The sequence below is a fragment of the Homo sapiens genome, chromosome 4 (genome assembly GCF_000001405.40).
Source record: "Homo sapiens chromosome 4, GRCh38.p14 Primary Assembly".
NCBI lineage: Eukaryota > Metazoa > Chordata > Mammalia > Primates > Hominidae > Homo > Homo sapiens.
In genome coordinates this window covers 162,371,423-162,394,567 of record NC_000004.12, presented here as the reverse complement: position 1 = coordinate 162,394,567, position 23,145 = coordinate 162,371,423, and positions in this window count along the sequence as shown.

The window sequence follows — 23,145 nt, the reverse complement described above, 5'->3', positions numbered from 1 at the left end:
CTTTCCTGGAAACTTTTTTTTTGTCTGCTCTTGAGAAGAATGTGTAGTCTTTTGCTGTTGGAATGAGTGTTCTGTTTATGTCTGTGAGGCACTTTTGATCTAAAATATTCTTCTAGTCTAATGTTTCCCTATTAATTTTTGTCTGGATAATCTGTCCGTTATCAAAAGTGGTAAATCGAAAACCCCTACTGTTATTGTATTGCAATCTGTCTCTTCCTTCTCATTCTTTAATATTTGCTTTATATATTTAGTTGCTTCACTGTTAGGTGCATAATTTTCATTTATTTTCTGTTTATAATTGATTTTAGTAAGTGATTTGCTCATTTTTTTGCATTTAATCTTTTTTATGACTCAAATAAATATATTCAAAACTACAAACCTTTTTACTTTGGGCTGTAGCTTTGCATAAAGAGCTTTAAACAAAGCACAATGTTTGCACAATGCTAGTTAGTTAAGTAACACATACAAAAATTATCTCTACTTTCTGTGCAATTTTCCCTTAACAGTTGAATAAGTTACAACTTTATTTAGTCTCTATGTCAGCAAAATATCAGGACATATGTAAATTATATATACTTGCTTAGGCAGTTTTAATTAAAGCTATTAGAAAAAATAAGATAATTTAGATTACATTTGGGAATGCATAATTATCTTTTAATTCAATAATAAATTCTTAATTTTTTTTTTTTAGATGGAGTCTCGCACTGTCACCCAGGCTGAAGTGCAATGGCACGATCTCAGCTCACTGCAACTTCCACTTCCCAGATTCAAGCGACTCTCCTGCCTCAGCTCCTGAGTAGCAGGACCAGGTGGATCACCTGAGGTCAGGAGATTGAGACCAGCCTGGCCAACATGGCGAAATCCTGTGTCTACCAAAAATATAAAAAATTAAAAAATTCTTAATGCTTTAATGAGGGAATGAAGGATACCATTCTCAATAACAAAACTATTTGCTGAGTGTATGCAGTGGGCTAGGCACTGTAATAAGTGCTTATGTAATTTAGCTTTTTCAATATTAATCAAACAGCAACTCTATTGTATTATTTTTAACTGTTTTTACAGAGAAATTGAAGAGAATTTTACAGAGAAGAAAACTTGCCTAAGAAACTCAGTTGACTAATATTAGAACTATGGCTACAGGATTGATAAAGTTTCAAGAACTACAGAGAATCCAATTAGAAGATATTTAAATATATTAAAAGGAATTTTAAAATGCAAGTCCAACTGATGCCACATGAAAATTTATTTACAATCTAATAAGCAGAATTGCATGCTTCTCATAGTAGAAAAGCATTTAATAGTGATATGACTTATGTGAAATTTGAGAGCAAAGCTGACCAAAAGCTTCAAGGTTATGAAATTCCTGTTATTACATCTGCAAACAGGGCTCAGTGGGTCCAATCAGTATTGAAGGCAATCATGTACTTCTGCAACTTAAGCAAATATTGCGGTCAATAGGAAACCTAAGCTAACAGACAGGGTAACCTCATACTGCATGATTCTGTTTATTTTAAGTTCAAAACCAGAAAAAAACAACTATGATAACAGTAGTCAATATAATTGTTTCTTCTGAAGAATATTGACTGGGAACTTTATAAAGCATCTTCCACTTTGCTGATAATGCTATTTCTTGTTCTGTGTGATGGTTATATGGGCACATGGACTTTGTGAGAATTCATTCAGCTGTGCACTTAGGATTCACACAATTATCTTTATGTTTGATATACATTAATAAAGAAGTGGAGGAAAGTTGCTTTCAACAGTAACCACAAGCATATCATCTGACTGCTTTTATTCACTCAAAATTATTCTTCTTATAACACAGTAATTTCTTTGTTGCATAAATATTTTAGCACAAAAAACTATATTTAAATAGAAAAATGAATAAACAAATCAACAGTAGTGATAATTGTGTTACAGAATACTATGTTTTTCTAAAAGTATTTGCAATATTTAAAAATAACTGACCTAAAAAGAATAAGAGATTAATGTTATGATTCCAATTTAAAATGCTTAGTTGAGAAATTGATTTAAAATGTAATTTTATATAGTAATTATAAAAATGATGTAAACAGTCATTATAAACATTTAAGAGGCCTAAATCATGAGCATAGACTTATTAGTTTTATAAGACTTTTTTGATAGGCTTACCTATTAGTCAACTTAAAGTACTTATAAAGCAAATAAAATACAGCAAATTAATCGAGTTGTGAATTGTTGGTGTGAAAGAGTTAAAGGGAGCCAAGGATTAAACTAGTTGTTCAACTAAGTGAGGTTTATTCGTTTTCTGTAACAAGGCAGGTAACTCCGAAGTAACTGGAGGATGCCTCTCAGAAAGATGAGCTGGGGAGTTTTTTGCAAAGCATGGACTTGAGCTGAATGACTCCGAGTAGGATATGGAGGTGGGAATTCACACTGGAATAGTTGGTTTTTCTGAGGCAAGATGAAAAAAATGTTCTGGATTGATTGTTGTGATTAGTTGAGGGCAGTTTAGCAATAGGATATTTCTGATTTGTGCTCAAAAGTCATGATCAATGAATTGTAACTGGATATGTCAGTGTGAGGGCAGTATTAAGTGCCTCAAAGATAAGGGTTGCTATAACATTTTAAAACTGTAGCATAAACTTGGGAGGAGAAGTTTCCTGTTAATTTAGCAGCTGACTTTATCTTTGTTCATAATCACAGTCTTATTAATGCCATGCTTGATTTTTATGTTTGCAGGCCCAAGTTGATGTTTTTTACTCCAAGTCCCAGATTAGTTTTTACTCTCTCACAATACTTAATTATCCTTTAAAATAAAACTAAACATGCATCCAATACTTTCTCAATATTTACATGTAAAACATGCTACTCTAACCTTAAATTTATAAATTAATTTAAAAATTAAGGAAGAATTACAAAAATATCAATAATTATTTTAAAAATCTAAAGTAGCCAAAATGCAAAATATACCTTTCTGTATGAAGTGCTCTTCTCAATTACCCAAAAATTTCTTACTAATAAACCATGGCATTTACGCATTGATAATGATTTTAACTCATTATGAATGATGCCAAGGCCTGTCTCATATCTTGTGCACTCATCTACCATACATTTTTTCTAATAAACAGATTTTAATTTTAAAAAATAATTTTCCTGGTTATAGGAACTGTTCTTTTTCTTCTTTGACAGTTGAAACTTGTACATACTTTAATTTAGGCAACAATATTTTCAACATGAATTTTATACTTTTGCAAAAACTCTAATACTAACTCTATCTCAGTATAAGTAATTAAATTTTGGGGAATTTTCATTTGCTTTTTTGTGTGTTGCTTGCTCTTTTCTTCAGCATTTGAAATAATGGTCCTAAAAGTCATTATCTTTATTACACTGAGCATTTTTCCAAAGGAAAATTTTCTTATTCAAAGGAATTATGAAAACATGCATCCCAAAGCTAACTGATCTCCTGATGACAGCACAATTGTTTCCTCCTTCCTTTTTTCCTTTCCTCTCTTTCCCTCTTCTTCCTTCCTTCATTTTCCCTTTCTTTCTTTTTTTCTTTCTTTTTTTATTTTCTCTTTTCTCCCTTCCTTTATTTGCTTCTTTCTTTGTTGAGAGGGAGAATGAAAATTAAATACACAATTCCCCCCGGGTTTACTTCATTCTTTCAAAGCAAAGTAGATGACCCACCAGCATGCTTTTTGTCCTTTCCTCCAAATTCTGATGGAGCTCTGGAGAATCCAGGACAGTTGTAGTTGATTAGAGTAGAATCAGAAGGTTCATTTTGGTCCTGAAAAGTAGGATTCATTTTTGGCTCTGAAGAACAAGAACAACTGTGGCTGAATGATCAGTCTTCATAGCCAGAGTTTTGGCAGGCATCAAAACAAAAGTCTTTCTTGTATTGATTTATAATATTAATTTTATACCAAATCGTAATAACATGTCAGTTGACTAAATTCTCAAGCTACTTTTGACCTATACCACTCAGAATTTTAATTTTTTAAATTAAGATATAAGGAAAACCATAGAAAAATAAGGCTATGAGCACAGAAGAAGGAGAACACACTAAACTATGAACACTTAAGGTTTTTTGGAAGAGCAAATAGATGAGTGGAATCAATAACAGTGGAATCAATAACAGGTAGATGTTCAGTGAAGCCCTAAGCTCCATGGGTCAGAGGAAAGTCCATAGCCGACATAAGGCACTGATGAAAGCCAGCAACATACTGCTGACCTTACAAAACTTGCCATTTAGCTACATGGATGACAATAGGTATATTTAGCAATAAATTGTTGATTTATTTGTCCACCCATACATTTTTTTAAAGCTTTGTTCGGACAATATGGAAACTCCACATTATTATTCTCTTCTTTTTAAATTACAAGATGTTGGTATATCATAAAGATTAGGATGATCCCTATTTCAGTTGGGTGTTATTAGGTATCTATATCTAAACTATTCTAGTGTGAATAAAATTACTTTTCTATGTCTAGAACAGTATCATTAATTCTTCATATATACATATTCACTCAAGTAACATAATGTATGTTATGTAATGTGGTGGAAATACATTCTTTACATGAAATTACTTCAGTATAATATTTTAATCATATAATGTGTAAGATCTCTATAGTAATGAATATAAGCACTACAATTTCACATATATTTTATTTTTATTTATTAAATGTTGTTGATGCTGTTACCACCAAAATTGAAAAATCTGGTACACCTATTTTCTGCTAATTTTTATTTGTTTGATTTTTCTGACAGAAGGTCTATGTGTTCCTTAAGAAATTCAATTGACTGACATATTCAGATGGCATAAAAATCAGACCCAGAAACACAGAACGTTTAATTCCCCCAGCCACAGCTGCTGGTCTGCACATTTAGTGGGTAACCCAAGCTGGCTCAATCAGAACTAATCCTTAGCCATACTAAGATTTGCCTGATCTCTGTTTTTTAATTTTTCTCCCTCTCTTTCTCTCTATCTCACCAACCCTATGACTCCCCTTTGCTTCCTGCCCCTGATAGTTGTTCAGAAGAAAGGATGTTAGCCCAGATCTGCTGGTGATGCATGTCCACGATATGTGTAAAAACACACCAAAGACCAGAGGAAATATCAGAACTGATAAGAAAATAGAATTTACATATGAAAACTTGAAGACTAGGCCTAGATGAATTTTTTGAGCTTCTGAATCCAGCTATGTCTAATGACACCTCTAGATTTTTCAGGTGCGTGAGTTAATACATTTATTTAATAATTTTGAAAGAACCATTTTAAATTAGATTTTCTTTTCTTTATGTCAGAAAGAATGCTACTCACTGGAAAAAGTAACTTAAGAGCATTAGAGAATTACTTATGTTTATGATGATTGTCTTTTCACACAAACACAAAACAAATACTTTTAAGAGAAGACTAAAATACTTTGGTTCATGGTACGGTTTGGATGAGGATATCCTGTCCAAAACTCATGTTGAAACTGAATCCCCAATGCAACAGGATTAAGAAGTGTGGCCTTTTGGCAGTGATTAGGTCATGTGGGTTCCACCTTCTTGAGTGGGATGAGCAGACTTATAAAAGGGCTTGATGTTGAAGGTATTGCCCCCATGCCCTTCTGTCCCTCCTGCCATGTGAGTGCACAGTGTTTGTCCTCTCTGGGGGATGCAGCAACAAGACACCTTCTCAGAAGGAGACACAAGATCCCTCACCAGATTCTGAATTTACTAGTGCCTTGAATTTGGACTATCCAAAGTCCAAAGTTCTCCAGAATTGTGAGAAATGCATTCTTGTTCATTAAAATTTACCCAAGTCCAGGCATGGTGTCTCACGCCTATAATCCCAGAATCTCGGAAGGCCAAAGTGAAAGGATCACTTGAGCCCAGGAGGCCGAGACCACCCCAGGTAACATAGTAAGACCCTATCTCTACAAAACGTTAAAACATTAGCCAGGCATAGTGGTGTGTGCTTATTGTCCCAGCTACTTGGGAACCTGAAGTGGAAGGATCACCTAAGCCCAGGAGGTCAAGGCTACAGTGAGTCGCGATGGCACCACTGCACTCCAGCCTGGATGACAGAGCAAAATCCTACCTCTTACAAAAAATACCCAGTCTCAGATGTTTTGTTTTTATAGTACAAATGGTCTATGACATATCCCAAAAATACCTAAATAAATCTAAATTTCAATAATAATTACGCTGTACTCAAGTTTTGTAAGAGACCATGATTGATTTATCAAGTGCTCCTTAAAGGCAAACTATCATAATTTGTCCTAGGGAACAAAAATTTAAATAAAAAACATTTTTCTCAAGATAACAGTGTACTATTTGAGTCCTCCAAGAAGCAGACGACATAACAGAATTAGACCTGAAAAAGATCATTTGGAGGAAACGCTTAGGCAGGAAAGTGGAGAGAGATCCAGAGAAGAAAGAAAATGCACATCTGACCTCCCTGTGAAGCTGAGAGGGAAGGAAGAAGGATCAAGGAAGAACAGTTACAGACTTTTGCCAGCCCAAAGCTGTTCATTAAACAAATCTCTCCTCTTGGAGGAATTGGCCTGTGTACTCAGTCACTGGCTGTTGACAATCTGGGGGAAATATGGCTTCAGCAAGAACTTAGAGCTGATACAGAGGGCTCACAGCAGTACTTGTAAGTCAACTATGCTTCCTGCCCCAGAAGATTTGATGAACACCTTTTCAAGCTGCACATAAACTAACTGTGAAATGAGCTAGAGGACAAAGTAAAGTTTTCCTAACTTTACTAATGTTAAACTTTACTATATAAACTAATAAATCATAGTGTGACTTTATAACACACACACACACACACACACGGGAAACAAATTTAAAAGAAGATTATCATTAAGTGTTTAAAGAGAGCTTCAAAGAAAAAATAGCAATATTTCACCTGGCCTTTGAAGGAGGGGTGGGATTTCCGTAGCACAAGTGGAAGAATGGCTTTCCAAGCAAAGGAACCAGTAAACTACAACATAAAGACACTGAAATCTGGCCGGGTGTGGTGGCTCACGCCTGTAATACCAGCACTTCAGGAGGCCGAGGCGGGTGGATCACCTGAGGTCAGGAGTTTGAGACCAGCCTGGCCAATATGGTGAAACCCCGTCTCTACTAAAATACAAACATTAGCCAGGAGTGGTGCCGGGCACCTGTAGTCCCAGCTACTTGGGAGGCTGAGGCAGGAGAATCGCTTGAACCTGGGAAGCGGAGGTTGCAGTGAGTCGAGATCGCGCCACTGCACTCCAGCCTTGGTGACAGAGCAAGACTCTGTCTCAGAAAAAAAAAAAAGACACTGAAATCTGTGTTGTGTGTGTGTGGCATCCAGCATTTTGATGGTCCTGGTGTAGAGTTATGCGGGAACTAGGTTAGAAGAGATTGAGGAGAAAGTATCCTGCAGATCAAGAAAGTGACCTGATTTGATCATTACACATTATATATACATGTATCAAAATATCACACTATACTCAAAAATATGTTCAACTATTATGTGTCAATTAAAAATAATAAGGCCGGGCGTGGTGGCTCATGCCTGTAATCCCAGCACTTTGGGAGGCCGAGGCTGGTGGATCATTTGAGGTCAGGAGTTTGAGACCAGCTTGGCCAACATGGTGAGACCCCATCTTTACTAAAAATACAAAAATTAGCCCAGAGTGGTGGCATGTGCCTGTAATCCCAGCTACTTGGGAGGCCGAGGCAGGAGAACCTCTTTGAACTTGTGAGGCAGAGGTTTCAATGAGCCAAGATTGCATCACTGCACTCCAGGTTGGGCGACAGGGTGAGACATCATCTCAAAATAATAATAATAATAATATTAAAAGCAAAGACAAAGTGAGAAATGAAGTCACATGAAGGGGTTAATTCCAGTGTCAGCAAAGAGGCTGGGTTGGAAGTGGAGAGATAAGGAATGAGTATGAGGTGGCTCAGAAGCGAAGGTGAAAGACGATGCAAAGGCAATGGGAATGAGGACAAGCTGAAGATTGTCAGTATCTGGAGGAGCAAGGAGGAAAGAGAGAATGAGTCTGAAATCAGTCAGTACCCTTGTCTTGCAGGACTGTGCCGGTAAAGAACATAGAGGAAAGAGTTTTCAGAGAAGAAATGTTCAGATTAACACTGAGTTCAAGGCACAGTGCATAGTATATTGGATTGTCACTTCTTTATCTAGACTCCCAAGATTTGAATCTTGGCTCCACTGCTTACTATTTATGAGACCATGGGCAAGTCTCTTAAATTCTGTGCCTTAGTTTCCTCATCTGTAAAAATGAGAATAATGTTTTCTCTATACTTTGGAGTATTTTTTGAGTATTAAATAACATAATTGGCTATAGTTATTATTATTACTATTATTATTTTATAGAAATACTTAGCAGTCAATTATATAATTGATAGCTTTTGTTTCTCACAGACCCATAAAAGTATGATCAAATGAAAAGTAAGCAATATTAGGAAACTTAATTTGTACAAGTCTTTATATATATATTTATTACTTTTTCAGATAATAAAAAATTGCTTAATTACTTTAAACCTAATTTGTGCAACCTTTCATATATACATACTTACTTTCAATGGCAAAAACCGCATTTACTTTTACACCAACCTAATATAATTCTATAGTATCTTTATTAATATATAACATATGTATTTATCAGTATGTAAAGTATACATATTTAATTTGAGCATGTTGCTTTTTGCTGAGTAAATGATTCTGCATTCACCATTTCTAATCAGAATTATTTGGTTTGATATATCTCTGCTTTGCTCCATAGCTGACATCTTCAGAAACTCAGTTGGAATGGTTAGATAATACAGTCAAGTTGCTCAAATTAGAATATATAGCTGCTTTGTGTGTGTGTGTGTGTGTGTGTGTGTGTGTGTGTGACAGAGAGAGAGAGAGAGAGAAAACATAGGCTGAACTTTTCTCCTCATGTCTCCTCTCATGATAACATGACATCTTTATAGCTCACTTCATATTAAGGCAACAGATTTTATCTCTTAGCTGATTTTTTTTTCTTTGTGTTTTTTTAAATATATATTCCAATGAAGAATATTATGCTTTAATATATCCCAATGAAAAATATTATGCTTATGTTGCTATTTCTTGATTTGTACATTTTAGACCTTATCTACTTTTACTGACTGCTATGTTAGGATTACATGTATTACATGACATATGTAACACATTACATATTATTACATAATGTGTGCGGATTCATGAGAATTCAGTTCTTTTAACTCATCTTGCCACTTCCCAATAGAGGTAACCTCTATTTAGATAATCTATTAAGTGTAAAGTGTTAGCATTGTTAGAAATATACATTATTCATTGTAGATTATATAATATATATGTGAATGGTTTTTAAAATTTTTCATTGATACATAATATTTGTACAGATTTATAGAATTCATATAATATGTTGTTACATGCACAGACTAAGTAATGATCAAGTCAGAGTACTTTGGGTGTTCATCACCTCAAGTATTTGTCATTTCTATGAGTTAGGAACATTTCAAGTTTCTCTTTTAGCTACTTTGAAATACACAAGACGTTGTTGTTAACTATATTCAATCTACTCTGGTATTGAAAATTAGAATTTATTCCTTCCATTTAACTGTGTGTTTATTCCCATTAATCAATATCTCTTTATTCCCTCCCCCCAACACCCCCAAGCACACATACTCCCTTTCTAGCCTCAGGTGTCTATCATTCTACTCTCTACCTCCATATAGGATCCACTTTTTTTGCTCACATTTATGAGTGAGAATATGCAATATTTGTCTTTCTGTGCTTGGCTTATTCCACTTAATAGAAAGTCCTTCAGGTACATCCAGGTTGCTGTGAATGACAGAATTTCATTCTTTTATATGCTGAATAGTATTACGTTGCGTAAACAGAATGGAAATTATATAACACATTTTCTTTATACATTAATCCGTTGATGAACACTTAGGTTGATTCCATAGCTTAGCCATTGTGAATAGTGCTGTGTTTAACACGGTGGTGCAAATATCACTTTGATATACTGATTTCTTTTTCTTTGTCTAAATACCCAGTAGTAGAATTGCCGGATAGTATAGTAGTTCTATTTTGATTTTTCTGAGACATTTCCATACCGTTTTTATAGTGTCTGTACTAATTTACATTCCCACAAAGAGTGATATACTATGAATGATTTCTTTTATTTTAAACTTGTTAAATTTTTTAAATCTTTCAGTTATTTTGTAATCTGTCTAAACTTATTTTTCTTGATTTATTAATTGTGTATTCCCACTTCCCCAGAAATATCCTTCCCTCGATACTTCATCTTTCTATCTTTCTGCTCCAATCTGGACTGTTTTGTCCCAAGCACTGTTACAAAAGGATCCTCAAACTCTCCTATGATGTATATGTTGCTTCTTAAATATCATATATTTTTTCTGTTTTTGTTAGTTCTTCATTTTTCAAGAGTATTTCCCAAGGGACTACCAGGAAATTAACAGAACAAAAAGCTTAGAGTTTTTCTGAGTAGTTGCTAACTGACAATATCTCAAATTTAATTTTCCTCTTGGTTGACATCTTGATTGTGTGTATCATTCTAGGTTAAATTCATTTTATTCCAGAATTTTAAAAGCAGTGCTTCCTTATCCTTCATCATGTATTGCTGCCTTTAAGAAATCCAATATCATTCTGATTTTTTATGTTGTTATTGTTTTAATATGTGTTTCTTTCTCCCTCTTTAGAAGCTTTTTGTATCTTCTTTTTATTTTGAAGTTCCAGTATCTTCTTTTGGTATGATTGGTATGGTTTGGTGTGGGCCTTTCTCATTTGTAGTGCTGAAAAAATGCTTGGACACTTTAAAATTGGAGAAGGAAGTGCTTCAGTTCTGGATATTTCTGTGCTGGATTTTCTATAGTCAAAGTAATGTCATCTCAACCACCTTTTACGGTCTGCTCTGTTTTGCAGAAGAAAAGCCTGGAATCCATTTACCAAAATCCCCTTCCCTAGGTGGTCATCAGTTAGAAATTGTCAGTGAGCAATATTCCAAGGACAGTTGCATTCACACGTTTGGTAGTTGGTCCTCTTGAGATGAACCTCATTCAGGATTGCAAGGCACAGAAGACAGCAGTAATAATCCACCTCCCTCAGGACTTGACTTTACTGCCTGGAAAAGCTTCTGAGGATGACTTACTTTCACAGCTGAGCCTCAACAGAGACTGGTTAAAACCTTTCAGGTGCCAGATATTCTCTGGAAATTTCCAGCTTTGAGCAGTGGATAGCAAAAGTTGGTGGTGGTCAGGAGAATCCAGAAACTCAAAGTGGGTACCTGGAGAGCTCCTGAGTATCACCTCCTTCTAGACCACTTTCCTTCTGGACCACTTTCCTCCTCCCTACCTTTGTGTATTCATCCCTTTCAAGGGTTGTGCACATCTCAAATTTTCTGTATTGAAAATCTTCCCACCTGGAATACCAAGAAAGACTTCTTTCACCCTAATGAACTTAGCACAGGCACCTTCTTTTATTTCGTTGATAATGTCCTCTTTTTAACTCTCTCTGCCTACACTTTCTAGAACTTCTGCTATTCTATTAATGGAATTCTTATATTGATGTTCTTTGATTTTTATTTTGCTCTCTGAACTATTTTTTGCTTCTTTATCTCTTAGTTTTTTTTAGAGGTTTTCTTGATTTTTGTCCTTAAACATTTCACTGATTGCTTTATTTTAGCGATTTTATTTTTCATTTCTAATGGTAGTTATTTCCTGATCTCAGATTGATTTCCTTATTACTTTCCTATTATTTTATGAGTGCCAAATCCTTTTCAGGAAATTCAATTGTTACAGCTTTTATTTGAGTTTACCTCCTCTTTCCTGTATTGTTTCTTTTTATTCTCTTATCTCCCCCACCCCACCCCACAGTTTCTGTAGTAACAGAGATGTTCTACAAATCTGTGGTGACCCTTAGATTCACATTAAGAAGTAAAGTGCAAAAAAATCAAAAAAGCTCAGTGGAAGCTGCATCACTGAGGCAAGGCAAATAGATGGATTTTGATGAAAAGTTGCTGAGTTAAAGAGCTGGATATTTTTGAAAGAAAGATTCTTGGCTAACATCCAAAGAGCTTTTGTGGTGCTTCTCATCTTTGCTGAAGACTAATTTTCCATCCTCCCTTAGGAGCCAATACTTGGCTAGAAATATTCTGTGACTTGGAAGGAAGAAGCCTCCAATCTCCATTTTCCACTCCGTAACTCACTCCTTCCATCTGCCATGGCTGATGTAGATGAGAGAGAAGCAAGTATTGTTCAGTTTCTGCAAAGAATAAACTACTAATCTTACGCCTGAATATGTGACACTTCAGCCCAAACTCCTACAATGCCTGGGCCTGATATTTGCAATTAATGAGTCTTTATTTTCTTTAAAATCTCTTTTATCTATGAGCTCCCCTATCTTTGTATAACTGTCCATCTTTTTTTAATTTTTTTATTTTTATTTTTTATTTTTTAAATTTTTTTGACAGGGTCTTGCTCTGGCTCTCAGGCTGGAGTGCTGGAGTGCAGTGGTGCAGTGGTGTCAGTGGTGTGATCATAGCTCACTGCAACCTCCAACTCCTGGACTCAAGGGATCTTCTTGCTTCAGCCTCAAAAGTGGCTGGGACCACAGGCATGCACCCCTACCACACCTGGCTAATTTTTTTAAAAACGTTTTTTGTAGAGACAGTTTTGCCATGTTGCCCAGGCTGGTCTTGAACTCTTGGGCTCCAGTGATCTTCCTGCCTTGGCCTCCCAAAATGCTGGGATTAGAGGCCTGAGCCACCACACCCAGCCCCATCTTCTTTTTATCTTCTGAAATACATCTAATGTCTTTTATTTACGTCTCCTATTATATCTGAACTTGTAATTTTACACCTTTTAAATTCTATTTTGCTGTTTCATGAAGGTTTGGGGAGGCAAAGGATAAATATACATAGTTAATCTTCCATGTTCAGTCGGAAGCCCCAGAGCCCATAATTTTATTCACTGTAATACACTGTTTTGCAGTGTTATTTATTCTCAAGAGCAGTGGAAAAAGAATAGAACAAGGGCTGAATAGAACAAAGGTTAATCTTAACAAGTAAATTTTTCTTCCTGTCCATAATTATTTCCACTTCAGGCCAACTCCGTCTCTTCTGGGTAAGCGTGCAATCTTAGAGAATTTTTCTCTTTATTCTTATTTCATAAGACAACTGGATATAAGGTAACTAAGGGCAAGACCTATGCAGTTAGTGTCCATTTTGTTGTGTTATGACAACAAAATGCCTAGTTTACAATTTGCTAATATCAGTTGTGCATCCAAATACTGCTGAAGTCAAAGCTGATGACATTGGGATTGTCCTCTGTTCCCTTTCTGCATCACCACCACTGGGATCATGGAGGCCCTACCCCACCCACATCACCTCACATTTCTAGGTGGCTGTCAATGCCACATCTTGGTATTTGTGGGCCATGGGCGGCAGTTTCCACCTACAGTTCCAAACAGAAAGTTAAAAGAGCGGCCGGGCACGGTGGCTCAAGCCTGTAATCCCAGCACTTTGGGAGGCCAAGGCGGGCAGATCACCCGAGGTCGGGGGTTCAAGACCAGTCTGACCAACATGGGGAGACCCCATCTCTACTAAAAATATAAAATTAGCCTGGCGTGGCAGCGCGTGCCTATAATCCCAGCTACTTGGGAGGCTGAGGCAGGAGAATCACTTGAACTCGGGAGGCAGAGGGTTGTGGTGAGCCAAGATTGCACCATTGCACTCCGGCCTGGGCAACAAGAGTGAAACTCTGTCTCAAAAAAAAAAAAAAAAAAAAAAAAAAAAAGCAAGTTAGAGGAGCTCATTCTTTTCCTTCATACCTGATAGTGGAATCAGGAGCCTGACATCTCACCTCCTTATAATACTATTCTTTGATATATTGATCAGTAGTGGACAAATGTCTATTTCTCCTTTTAAATGTTTTCGGATAGATGTGTCTCATACATCATATGTTGCATTCCATCAAACTGTAACAGTAACTTGTAAGAATAAAATAAAATAATATAAAATAACAAAATAAATTATTATTACATTCTCCTCATGAAGTCAGCTGTTCTTCTGCATTCTACTAAATGCTACATGAGAATCAGGACAAGCTGTGAGCGTATATTGCCTCCCCTAACAACTCAATAATTCATGGATGCTTGCTTTCCTATTCCACTTAATGTTAAAGTGTTGCTAGTCTCCCTGCCCATGAGAACTTGCCATTCTTTTTTTTTCTTTTTTCTTTTCTTTTCTTTTATTTTATTATTATTATACTTTAAATTTTAGGGTACTTGTGCACAACGTGCAGGTTAGTTACATATGTATACATGTGCCATGCTGGTGTGCTGCACCCATTAACTCGTCATTTAGCATTAGGTATATCTCCTTATGCTATCCCTCCCCCCTCCCCCCACCCCACAACAGTCCCCAGAGTGTGATGTTCCCCTTCCTGTGTCCATGTGTTCTCATTGTTCAATTCCCACCTATGAGTGAGAACATGGTGTTTGGTTTTTTGTCCTTGCGATAGTTTACTGAGAATGATGATTTCCAATTTCATCCATGTCCCTACAAAGGACATGCACTCATCATTTTTTATGGCCACATAGTATTCCATGGTGTATATGTGCCACATTTTCTTAATCCAGTCTATCATTGTTGGACATTTGGGTTGGTTCCAAGTCTTTGCTATTGTGAATAGTGCCACAGTAACTTGCCATTCTTTTTGTTTGTTTGTTTGCTTTGTTTTGTTTAGTTGGGGGTGGGGGCAGGTTGAAGTCATGAAAGAGGTGAAGCAAAAACATTCTGCAATTTATATTTCATTTTAATTATATATAATTTTGTTTGTTTGTTTTGTTTGTTTGTTTGTTTTTGTTTTTAGACGGAGTCTCACTCTGTCACCCTGGCTGGAGTGCAGTGGTGCGATCTCGGCTCACTGCAACCTCCGCCTTCTGGGTTCACGCCATTCTCCTGCCTCAGCCTCCCAAGTAGCTGGGATTATAGGCACCCAACACCACGCCCGGCTAATTTTTTTTTTTTTTTGTATTTTTAGTAGCGACAGTGTTTCACCATGTTAGCCCAGGATGGTCTCAATCTCCTGACCTCGTGATCTGCCCGCCTCGGCCTCCCAAAGTGCTAGGATTACAGGCATGAGCCACTGTGCCCGGCCCGGTTGTTTTGTTCGAACTTAGAAACCAATTATTTGGCTTTTGACTGGTCTGGTTAATTTTGAGAGTTCTCTGAAAGGTACATCTCTAAAAATCTGAAAGAAGAGCCTGGAGTGAGAAGAGCATACTCCATCAGTATCCCCAAATTATTACCCTAAAATGTGCCTATTCATTTTCTATAATCAATCCCATATAATGCATCAATAAAATTCAATTTAATCCTATTTTGTTTTAAAATTCAGTCTTTTTCCATGTTGCTAATGTACTACAGCTGAGTCACTTGGAAGGCGGATATAAGGAGGTAAGAAGTTCTTGTCCCTTAACTTCCTCAACTTGCTTGATGTAAAAAATTAAATAGAAATGGTTCCTCAGCTTGAAAATTCTTCATAAACCACTGTTTTCTGCATCCAAAAACACATGTAATAGAGTATACAATGATTATAATGTATGATTTTAATACTGTTGGCATTTAAAATGTATGAGCACAATGTCACATTTTCATTCATTCTCTTTTTTTCTCATTTTCTGTCTTTGTGCAATTTTGATTACAGTAAATTACATTCTTTATGAATTTCCCCTTGACTTTCTAGTGGGAAGAATGCCAATACTACAGTTTAAATAAGTGAAAAAGTTCTCTCAAAGTGAGAAAATCAGAGATACATACTGTGTCTGGTGGCAGAATTAGAATCTTTTAAGTGTAGAAGCTGAATTGCTTCTTTCCTAATTGCAGTGTTAAAGTATGTGCAATTATTAAGTTACACCTGAGTAGATATGAATATTTTACTTACATCAAATACCACCTGCAGTGTGCTTGAAGAGTTATTACTGAAACATTATGCAAAAAAAGCACCTAAATTATTTATTGAACTCTTGAAGTGTTTAGTGTCTCTGACTGTAACAAGGCACTATCATTTATTCACAGCTGTCAATTTTGGATTAATTCAAGGGTTAATTATCCATTTTATGATTTTTCCATTCCTCCTCCCTCCTCTCTCTTTCTGTCTGCCCGTTTGCCATCTTCCTATTTGATGGCACGTGAGCCATGGCATAGAAAGCAGAACTAATGTTAGATGAAATGCAACATGTCTCTATTAAATCCAAAATGCCTCTTTGAAAAAGGTTTACCAGTGCTATAATTATTTTTTTAATTTGGATCTGTATTAGCCTGAAGTCATTAGTTCTATTTCATATCCAAGTACATATCAGCTAAAAGTACCCTATAAGAAGATCTGTTATTCTAATAATGACAATAAATAAGTTGAATTTGGTTTCAAGAATAGAGATGCATCTTGATATACTGTAGCACTATAAAGTAAAGCAAGCTATTCAGAACCATTTAAAATTATACATTGCAATTAAATCATAAGACAATGATTACAGTAAACCTTATCCCTTAGTCATGTGTTGGGCTTTCAAAAAATTATTTTAGAAAATATTTTTAAAGTCCGTATGTGTAGGAGAAAATATAGTTTTGTAGCATGGGACAAATAAAATACAGATGTTCTTTCTACAACAGAAAGAACATGAACACAGAATTGCTACAATAATCATATACATCATTTGGTGGCATCTTAGTATCCATATGGCAATGGACTGAACCCTGGAGAAAAAAATGACAAACTTGTAGTCCATAAAAATTTCTGTTTCACCAGTTATTTGTCTTACATTAAAAAAAAGCAGTAACTAAATTGTTGTTTTGCTTTTTCATATCACAGGCTGTGGGTGCTGTGTTAATTGGTATTTCAAACATGGATTAAACTAGCATTAGAAGAAATACGTAACGTAGGTGACGGGTTGATGGGTACAGCACACTACCATGGCACATGTATACCTATGTAACAAAACTGCACGTTCTGCACATGTATCCCAGAACTTAAAGTATAATATAAAAATGTAGACAAAAAAAAAACTCCTACTCCATCCAGACATTTGAGTTTGGTACCTCAGCTTCAACCACTTCTAAATCAGAATGCCAGAAGATAATGTGCATTCCTGTTTTTAGCTCTTATATTTTGAAAGAAGAAGGTGATTTTCTTCTCAGCAATTATATTTCTCATGATTTAAGTATGTCCCAGTACTAGAAAATGGTGTTCTCCTTAATATTTATCTATTCATTAAATTATACACCCAGCAAGGAGTTATTTTGCATCAGCTATGCATCAGTATCATATTATTGAAAATTAGCTAATATAAGTTCAATACATGTCTCTGGATTTTATTTTATTTGTTAATGTGAGGAAATATCCCTCTTCAAAATCATTTCAATTAGAGAAAGGCCAATGGCAGTGAGATGATCTTGCCTCTACCCTCACCCTAAACTGATATTTACTGAGGGTTAAAACAAGCTCTTATACTTACCTTTTCTGTATTTCATACTCTTCTACTGTAAGATGAAAAAGTCATAATTACTGCCTGCCTAACTTAAAGAGTGTTATAGAAGTTCATGAGATGAAAGCCTTAAAACATTTTGATCTCTCTAGATCAAAGGTGCTTTGTAAATATGAAGTAGTTTTATTTTTATAAATTAAGTTGAATAAGATGTGCATTATATCTAAGGCAATTGTAGCTCATCACTTGCTATTTCTTATAAATACAAAATAATCTCATTAGCACAGTGGCCCCTTCTACTTGAAATTGCTTTGCAAGATATGAAAAGACGAGAACATCCTACAGCGGACATAGAATTAATCTCCTAGAGTTTATGAGGGGAAACAGCACTCAGTTTCCTGCTACTCATACTGTATTTGTGAGATTAACATTCCTTTGCAGTTAAATACTCTGGCCCTACAGCAAACAAAAGAAAGAAAGAAAGAAAGGAAGAAAGGAAAGAAAGAAAGGAAGAAAGGAAGAAAGAAAAAGAAAGAAAGGAAGAAAGGAAGAAAGAGAAAGAAAGAAAGAAAGAAGGAAAGAAAGAAAGAAAGAAAGAAAGAAAGAAAGAAAGAAAAAGAAAAAGAAAGAAAGAAAGGAAGAAAATATTCTACGAATTGAAAGGAAGAAATATTTTATTTGCTTACAAAGTATATCTTTCTACAAACACAAGATAAAAGCAAGGAACTAACAAATTATTTTAAAACCAATTTAATTATAGTTACCCACAATAAACTAATTAAAGAAAAAAAAGTAGAAACATTAGGAAGGTCATTGTTATTTACTATGTGGAAACCACGGCTATGGTGGTGATTATTCCTTGTTTTAGTCGCAAAGTACCTGAATCTTTTTTGGCATTTTGGGCTCCCCCCATCATGTAAGTCCTGCTGGATAGCAAGGTATACCCACTACTGGAGAAGTTGAAGCAACAGAACTTACTTTCCAGTGTCCCTTGTAGCAAAGACACAAGCACATGACCCACGCTGTGTCACTGAACTACATGGACCCCAGAATTAAAGTGGGAATCTGATCAAGCACACACACTGTGACTGAAGGTACTCTGTCTGAAGAGTAGTTTCTTGGGCATCAGCTACAGCACTGGTGTCCTGTAGCGTAGAACTGACCATGCCAGTTACAATATTTAACATCCTGTTACCAGTGGCAAACCATGTCTGCACATGACTAATCATGGTGCAAATTTGGATGTATTGTTCTTCTTTGTGTAGTCCCAAGCTTAAATTTCTAGTTGTTCTAGCAGTTATGTGAATGAACTAAATTCATTTTTTAGAAACCTTTCTTCTATAATCAAAGTGAGATAATTTCTTTTTTTTTTCCATGTTTGGTGGTTGTGGTTTATTTATTACCTCTTAGGAATTGGTACACAGGATTTCCCCTTTATTTCTGCTGTCCATGGCCAATTTGAAGTAAGGAGAAAATAATGATACCACTGTTTTCACAGATATTGGTTTTAGAATTTATTAAAAATAAAAAGAAAAGAGTAATTTCTACAATTAGTAAATTGCCATCAAACTGAAATGCCTTAAAATAACATTTTCTCTTCTTCCCCTGCCAAAAACGGCAAAAAAAAAAAAAAAAAGTAATTGCTCAACTTCCACAGGAATTTGTTTTTAAAAATCTCTTTTTTTCTTCATCAGAATTGACAAGGAGGATATAGTAAACTGAGAGAAACATAAAATAATCACAATAATTCTCATCAACACAAAGACAGCATAGAATCTTAACTAAGACCTCTCCTTGAGGAATCCCACTACAAAGGAAAAGGAATTCACCCACAATTACCCACTTCTCATGCACACTAAAGGTATGTGACATATATTAGCCAGCTCTGCATTCAGTCATACTACCAAATTTCACCACTCATACTTTTCAGTCAGAAGAATGATCTTTCAAAAAGACTGTTGAGTTCTATGTTGTGTATGAGAATCTTCTCTTGTCCGTTCTTCCGTCCCTCCCTCCCTTCCTTCCTCCCTCCCTTCCTCCCTTCCTTCCATAAGCACCTATTGATCACCTTTTATGTACCAGGCACCATGCTAAGTAAAGGTGAATAACATACATCTGTTAACTATAAGATGAATATTTAAACCATTCAGGCGGCAGATCTTGATACTTTTGGATGGGCAGAGATGCACCTTGAGAAGAGGAGATTGTCTTCTACATATGGGAAGGAGGGGTAAGGAAGGAGCAGGAAGGGGTTGCTGGTAAGAATGATTGCACTTGGAAGACAAGTTTGTCTTCAGACAAGTTTGAAAGGCATAGTTACAATCCACTGCTAATATTCTTACCGTTTTACTTCCAGAGAGAGATAATTTCATGTAGCTTACAAATTAGGTTCCTAGCTGACGCAAAGCTAAACTAGTAACTATTTGGTAATATTAACCACAATAAAATCCATTCAATATAAAATATTAAGAAAAAATATCATTTAAATACCCAAAAAGGGGAAAGGTTAGCAAGTTATAACTTATACTAAAAAAAAAAGAAACCAGGATATCTTTATCAACTCTTAATAAATTAAATGGTTTCATTCAAGTTAACGATATTTGGGATATTGTATTTTATAGTGAAATACATGTAGACCTCAGAGGCAGTCAAATCTGAATTGATAGCTGTCTTTCTGCTTTGGGTAAATTATTTCAACTCTCTGACTCTTGGTTTCCTCCCTTGGGTGTAGCATCAGAAAGATACTATTTATGTTATAAGATTGATTGTTAGGTTAGAGGTGATATATTTCAAATGATTATCACAGTGTCATGGGCAGAATACGTGGCTCACAAAATTATGTATTACTTGATATAAATGAATTAATTTCTCCAGCCTTTTGTCTTCTAAGGTTTTAGCTTTGTGTGACACTGAGCCAGTCAGCCCCTGTGTGGCACTACCTGACAATTACAGTTTGTTTCCTTCCTGATGGTTTTGAGTCTCTAATCCATTGATGGTTAAATATTTTTTATATCCCTCTTGGTCATACAAGAAGAAGACGATATTGAGAAGAAATCTGTTAGCTTCTCTAAATTGTATTATGAAACAAAAATTAAAAATTTTTTCTAAAATGTGAGTCTTTATTAATGTTTGTGTTCTGTATCTTTCCTGACCAACTATAACAGACTCTGTAGGCTGGCTACCCTAACTTAATTTTCCAACATTTTTCTCCTTGACTGCTTAAGCTCAAGCTGAAGAGTTATAAGATAGAGACGTAATTTGTTTCCAAACTTTTAGCAGGCCTCTTCACATTGGTTTCAGATACTTTTTGATACAGTTGTGATTTTTGATAGTTTTCTTGCTGTGTGGTCTGACAAGAGGCTCAGACCTGAAACTTCTGCCCCAGATACTTCTACATCTCTTTCTGTACACCAAAGAGTCTCATTTTCAAGGACACATGGATATTAGAATTAAAATTTCACATAATTAATTATTCACCGGCTTGAACCTACTTTTTAAGTACACTATTCTCATTCAACATTATATTTACTACTACTATTATGATTACAAAAAGAAATGAAGCATTTTTTCATACACACTTCCCATTTCACCCTGTTTTAAGTAGTTGTATTATCTACTTATCAGAGCCTTATCTTTACATGACAGTTCTTCTCTTTTATAGCCCTCGTTTAGTTTTGGTACTAAGTGCAAATTTATACTGACTGCTCACAATAAGTTGTTTTTTTTTTTTGTCAGTGTCCAACAGGGTGAATTGTTTCTCTAATCTCTACTAGACATTGCTCCCAAATGGTCTGAAGCTTACATGCTTTGAAAGTCAGTTTGGCCTAATAAAATGCTTGGTTCACATTTTCATTTCTGATAGCTGATTTCTTATAGATTCATTTCTTATAGATAATTTCGTATAGCTTACGATTTAGGTTCTTAGCTGACACAAAGTTAAAGTAGTAGCTATTTGGTAATATTAACCACATTAAAATCCATTTAATATAAAATATTTATTCCAGCATAATGCATTATTCTTGAAATATTTAATCTTGTATTATTCGTTGCTGTTTGTTTGTTTTTCCTCTCATAAGTGATTTGATTTTTTACTGAATATTTAAGTAACGTTTCTCTCTTCTCTCTCTCCCCCTCCCCTTTAAAATCTAATAATTATACTTGAATTTATCTTGGTGTTAATTTTTCTGAGTCAATAATCTCAGAAGATATTTCAAAATGAATTTTCAAATCCTTTTAGAACCTGTTTTTACTGACTTCATTTTGCTTTGTTCTTTAGAGACTCTAATTATAAATGTGTTTTATCATTTTTGCTGAACTTCTAAACTTGGCATGTATTCTATGGATATAGATTTTTATCCTTATTTATTTTATGCTATTGATTTTAATTTTAATCATACTGATCACATTAATATTTAATCATATTGATATTAATATCCTATTCCTTTGTCCAGTCAATCTTTGTCCTCATTTCTTTTTCCTTTTTACCTTCTACTTCTCTTAAGACACATGTATGCCTATTAATATTTATTTTTCTTTTAGTTTGGTCTTCATTTCTGAAATAATGTTTTCTTTTTATTTATATCACTTCAGAGTTTCTAATTCTGATTTTTAAACAATTTTGTTTTGTCAAATCTTCTATTGTTTAAAAATATACATTGCTTCATGTTGCAATAATGCTAATCTGTTTTGTGACATTATCATCCTGGAAAGTTTTTCTTATCTATAGCAATGTTGTTCTGTGCTTCATTGTATTAAATTCCCTAGTGAAGTTCTTTTCTCCAAAAGCACACATTCAAGTTGACACCATTCATGCAGGAGATCCCTAGTTCATTGCTAGGGTGCTTCTTTAATATCATCTATAAATAGGTTTTATATCTTGGTGCAAATTATTCTAAGCTGTCCTGCATATACGCCCACCTCTCCCATCCCCCCAAAAGAAGAAAAAATAAATAATCAAATCCATACAAGCAGAATCCATTTAACATTTTATAAGGGGGAGGATTGGAGAGAGCATTTGCCTTATACATCCTTCAGGAAATTGCTTTAAATTATGTATGAGATATATCTGATACTCCAGGTAGTTTTATGTGACATAAGAAGTAAAGGGAACAGAAACAGTGGTGAGTATTTTCTCCATGGAGTTCTCTATCTCTCCATATCTTTTATCTATTAAAGATGGTCTGTTCATCATCTGTTTAAAGAAGAAAAATGCTTTCGCTGAAGGCAGTTCCAGCTAATACACTGTTTTTTATTGTTATTATTTCTGATCTCATCACTATTTTAAACTAAATTAAAAACACAGTGCCTACCTGAATTCCATTGCTTTGCTAATATTTCATACATAACACAGAAAATGTAAAATGGCAGGATACTCCTTAATACAAACAAAGAGGAGAAGAATGATTAAATATAAATTAGAATTGTATTCCCTACAGTAATATTTTACATCTTTCTGTGAAAAGCACGTCTATGACTGACTTGTCAGTTTAATTACAATGTGAAAAAAGACTTTTATTTAGTTCAATATTCTTTCATCAAAAATACAGTATTTGTTTTCTCTCTTTTTTCAGTCTGAGTTGTATTACATCATGAAAACGTCTTACTGATGTTTGCATATTGAGTTTGTTTACATACAAATACATACAGATGTCCTTGT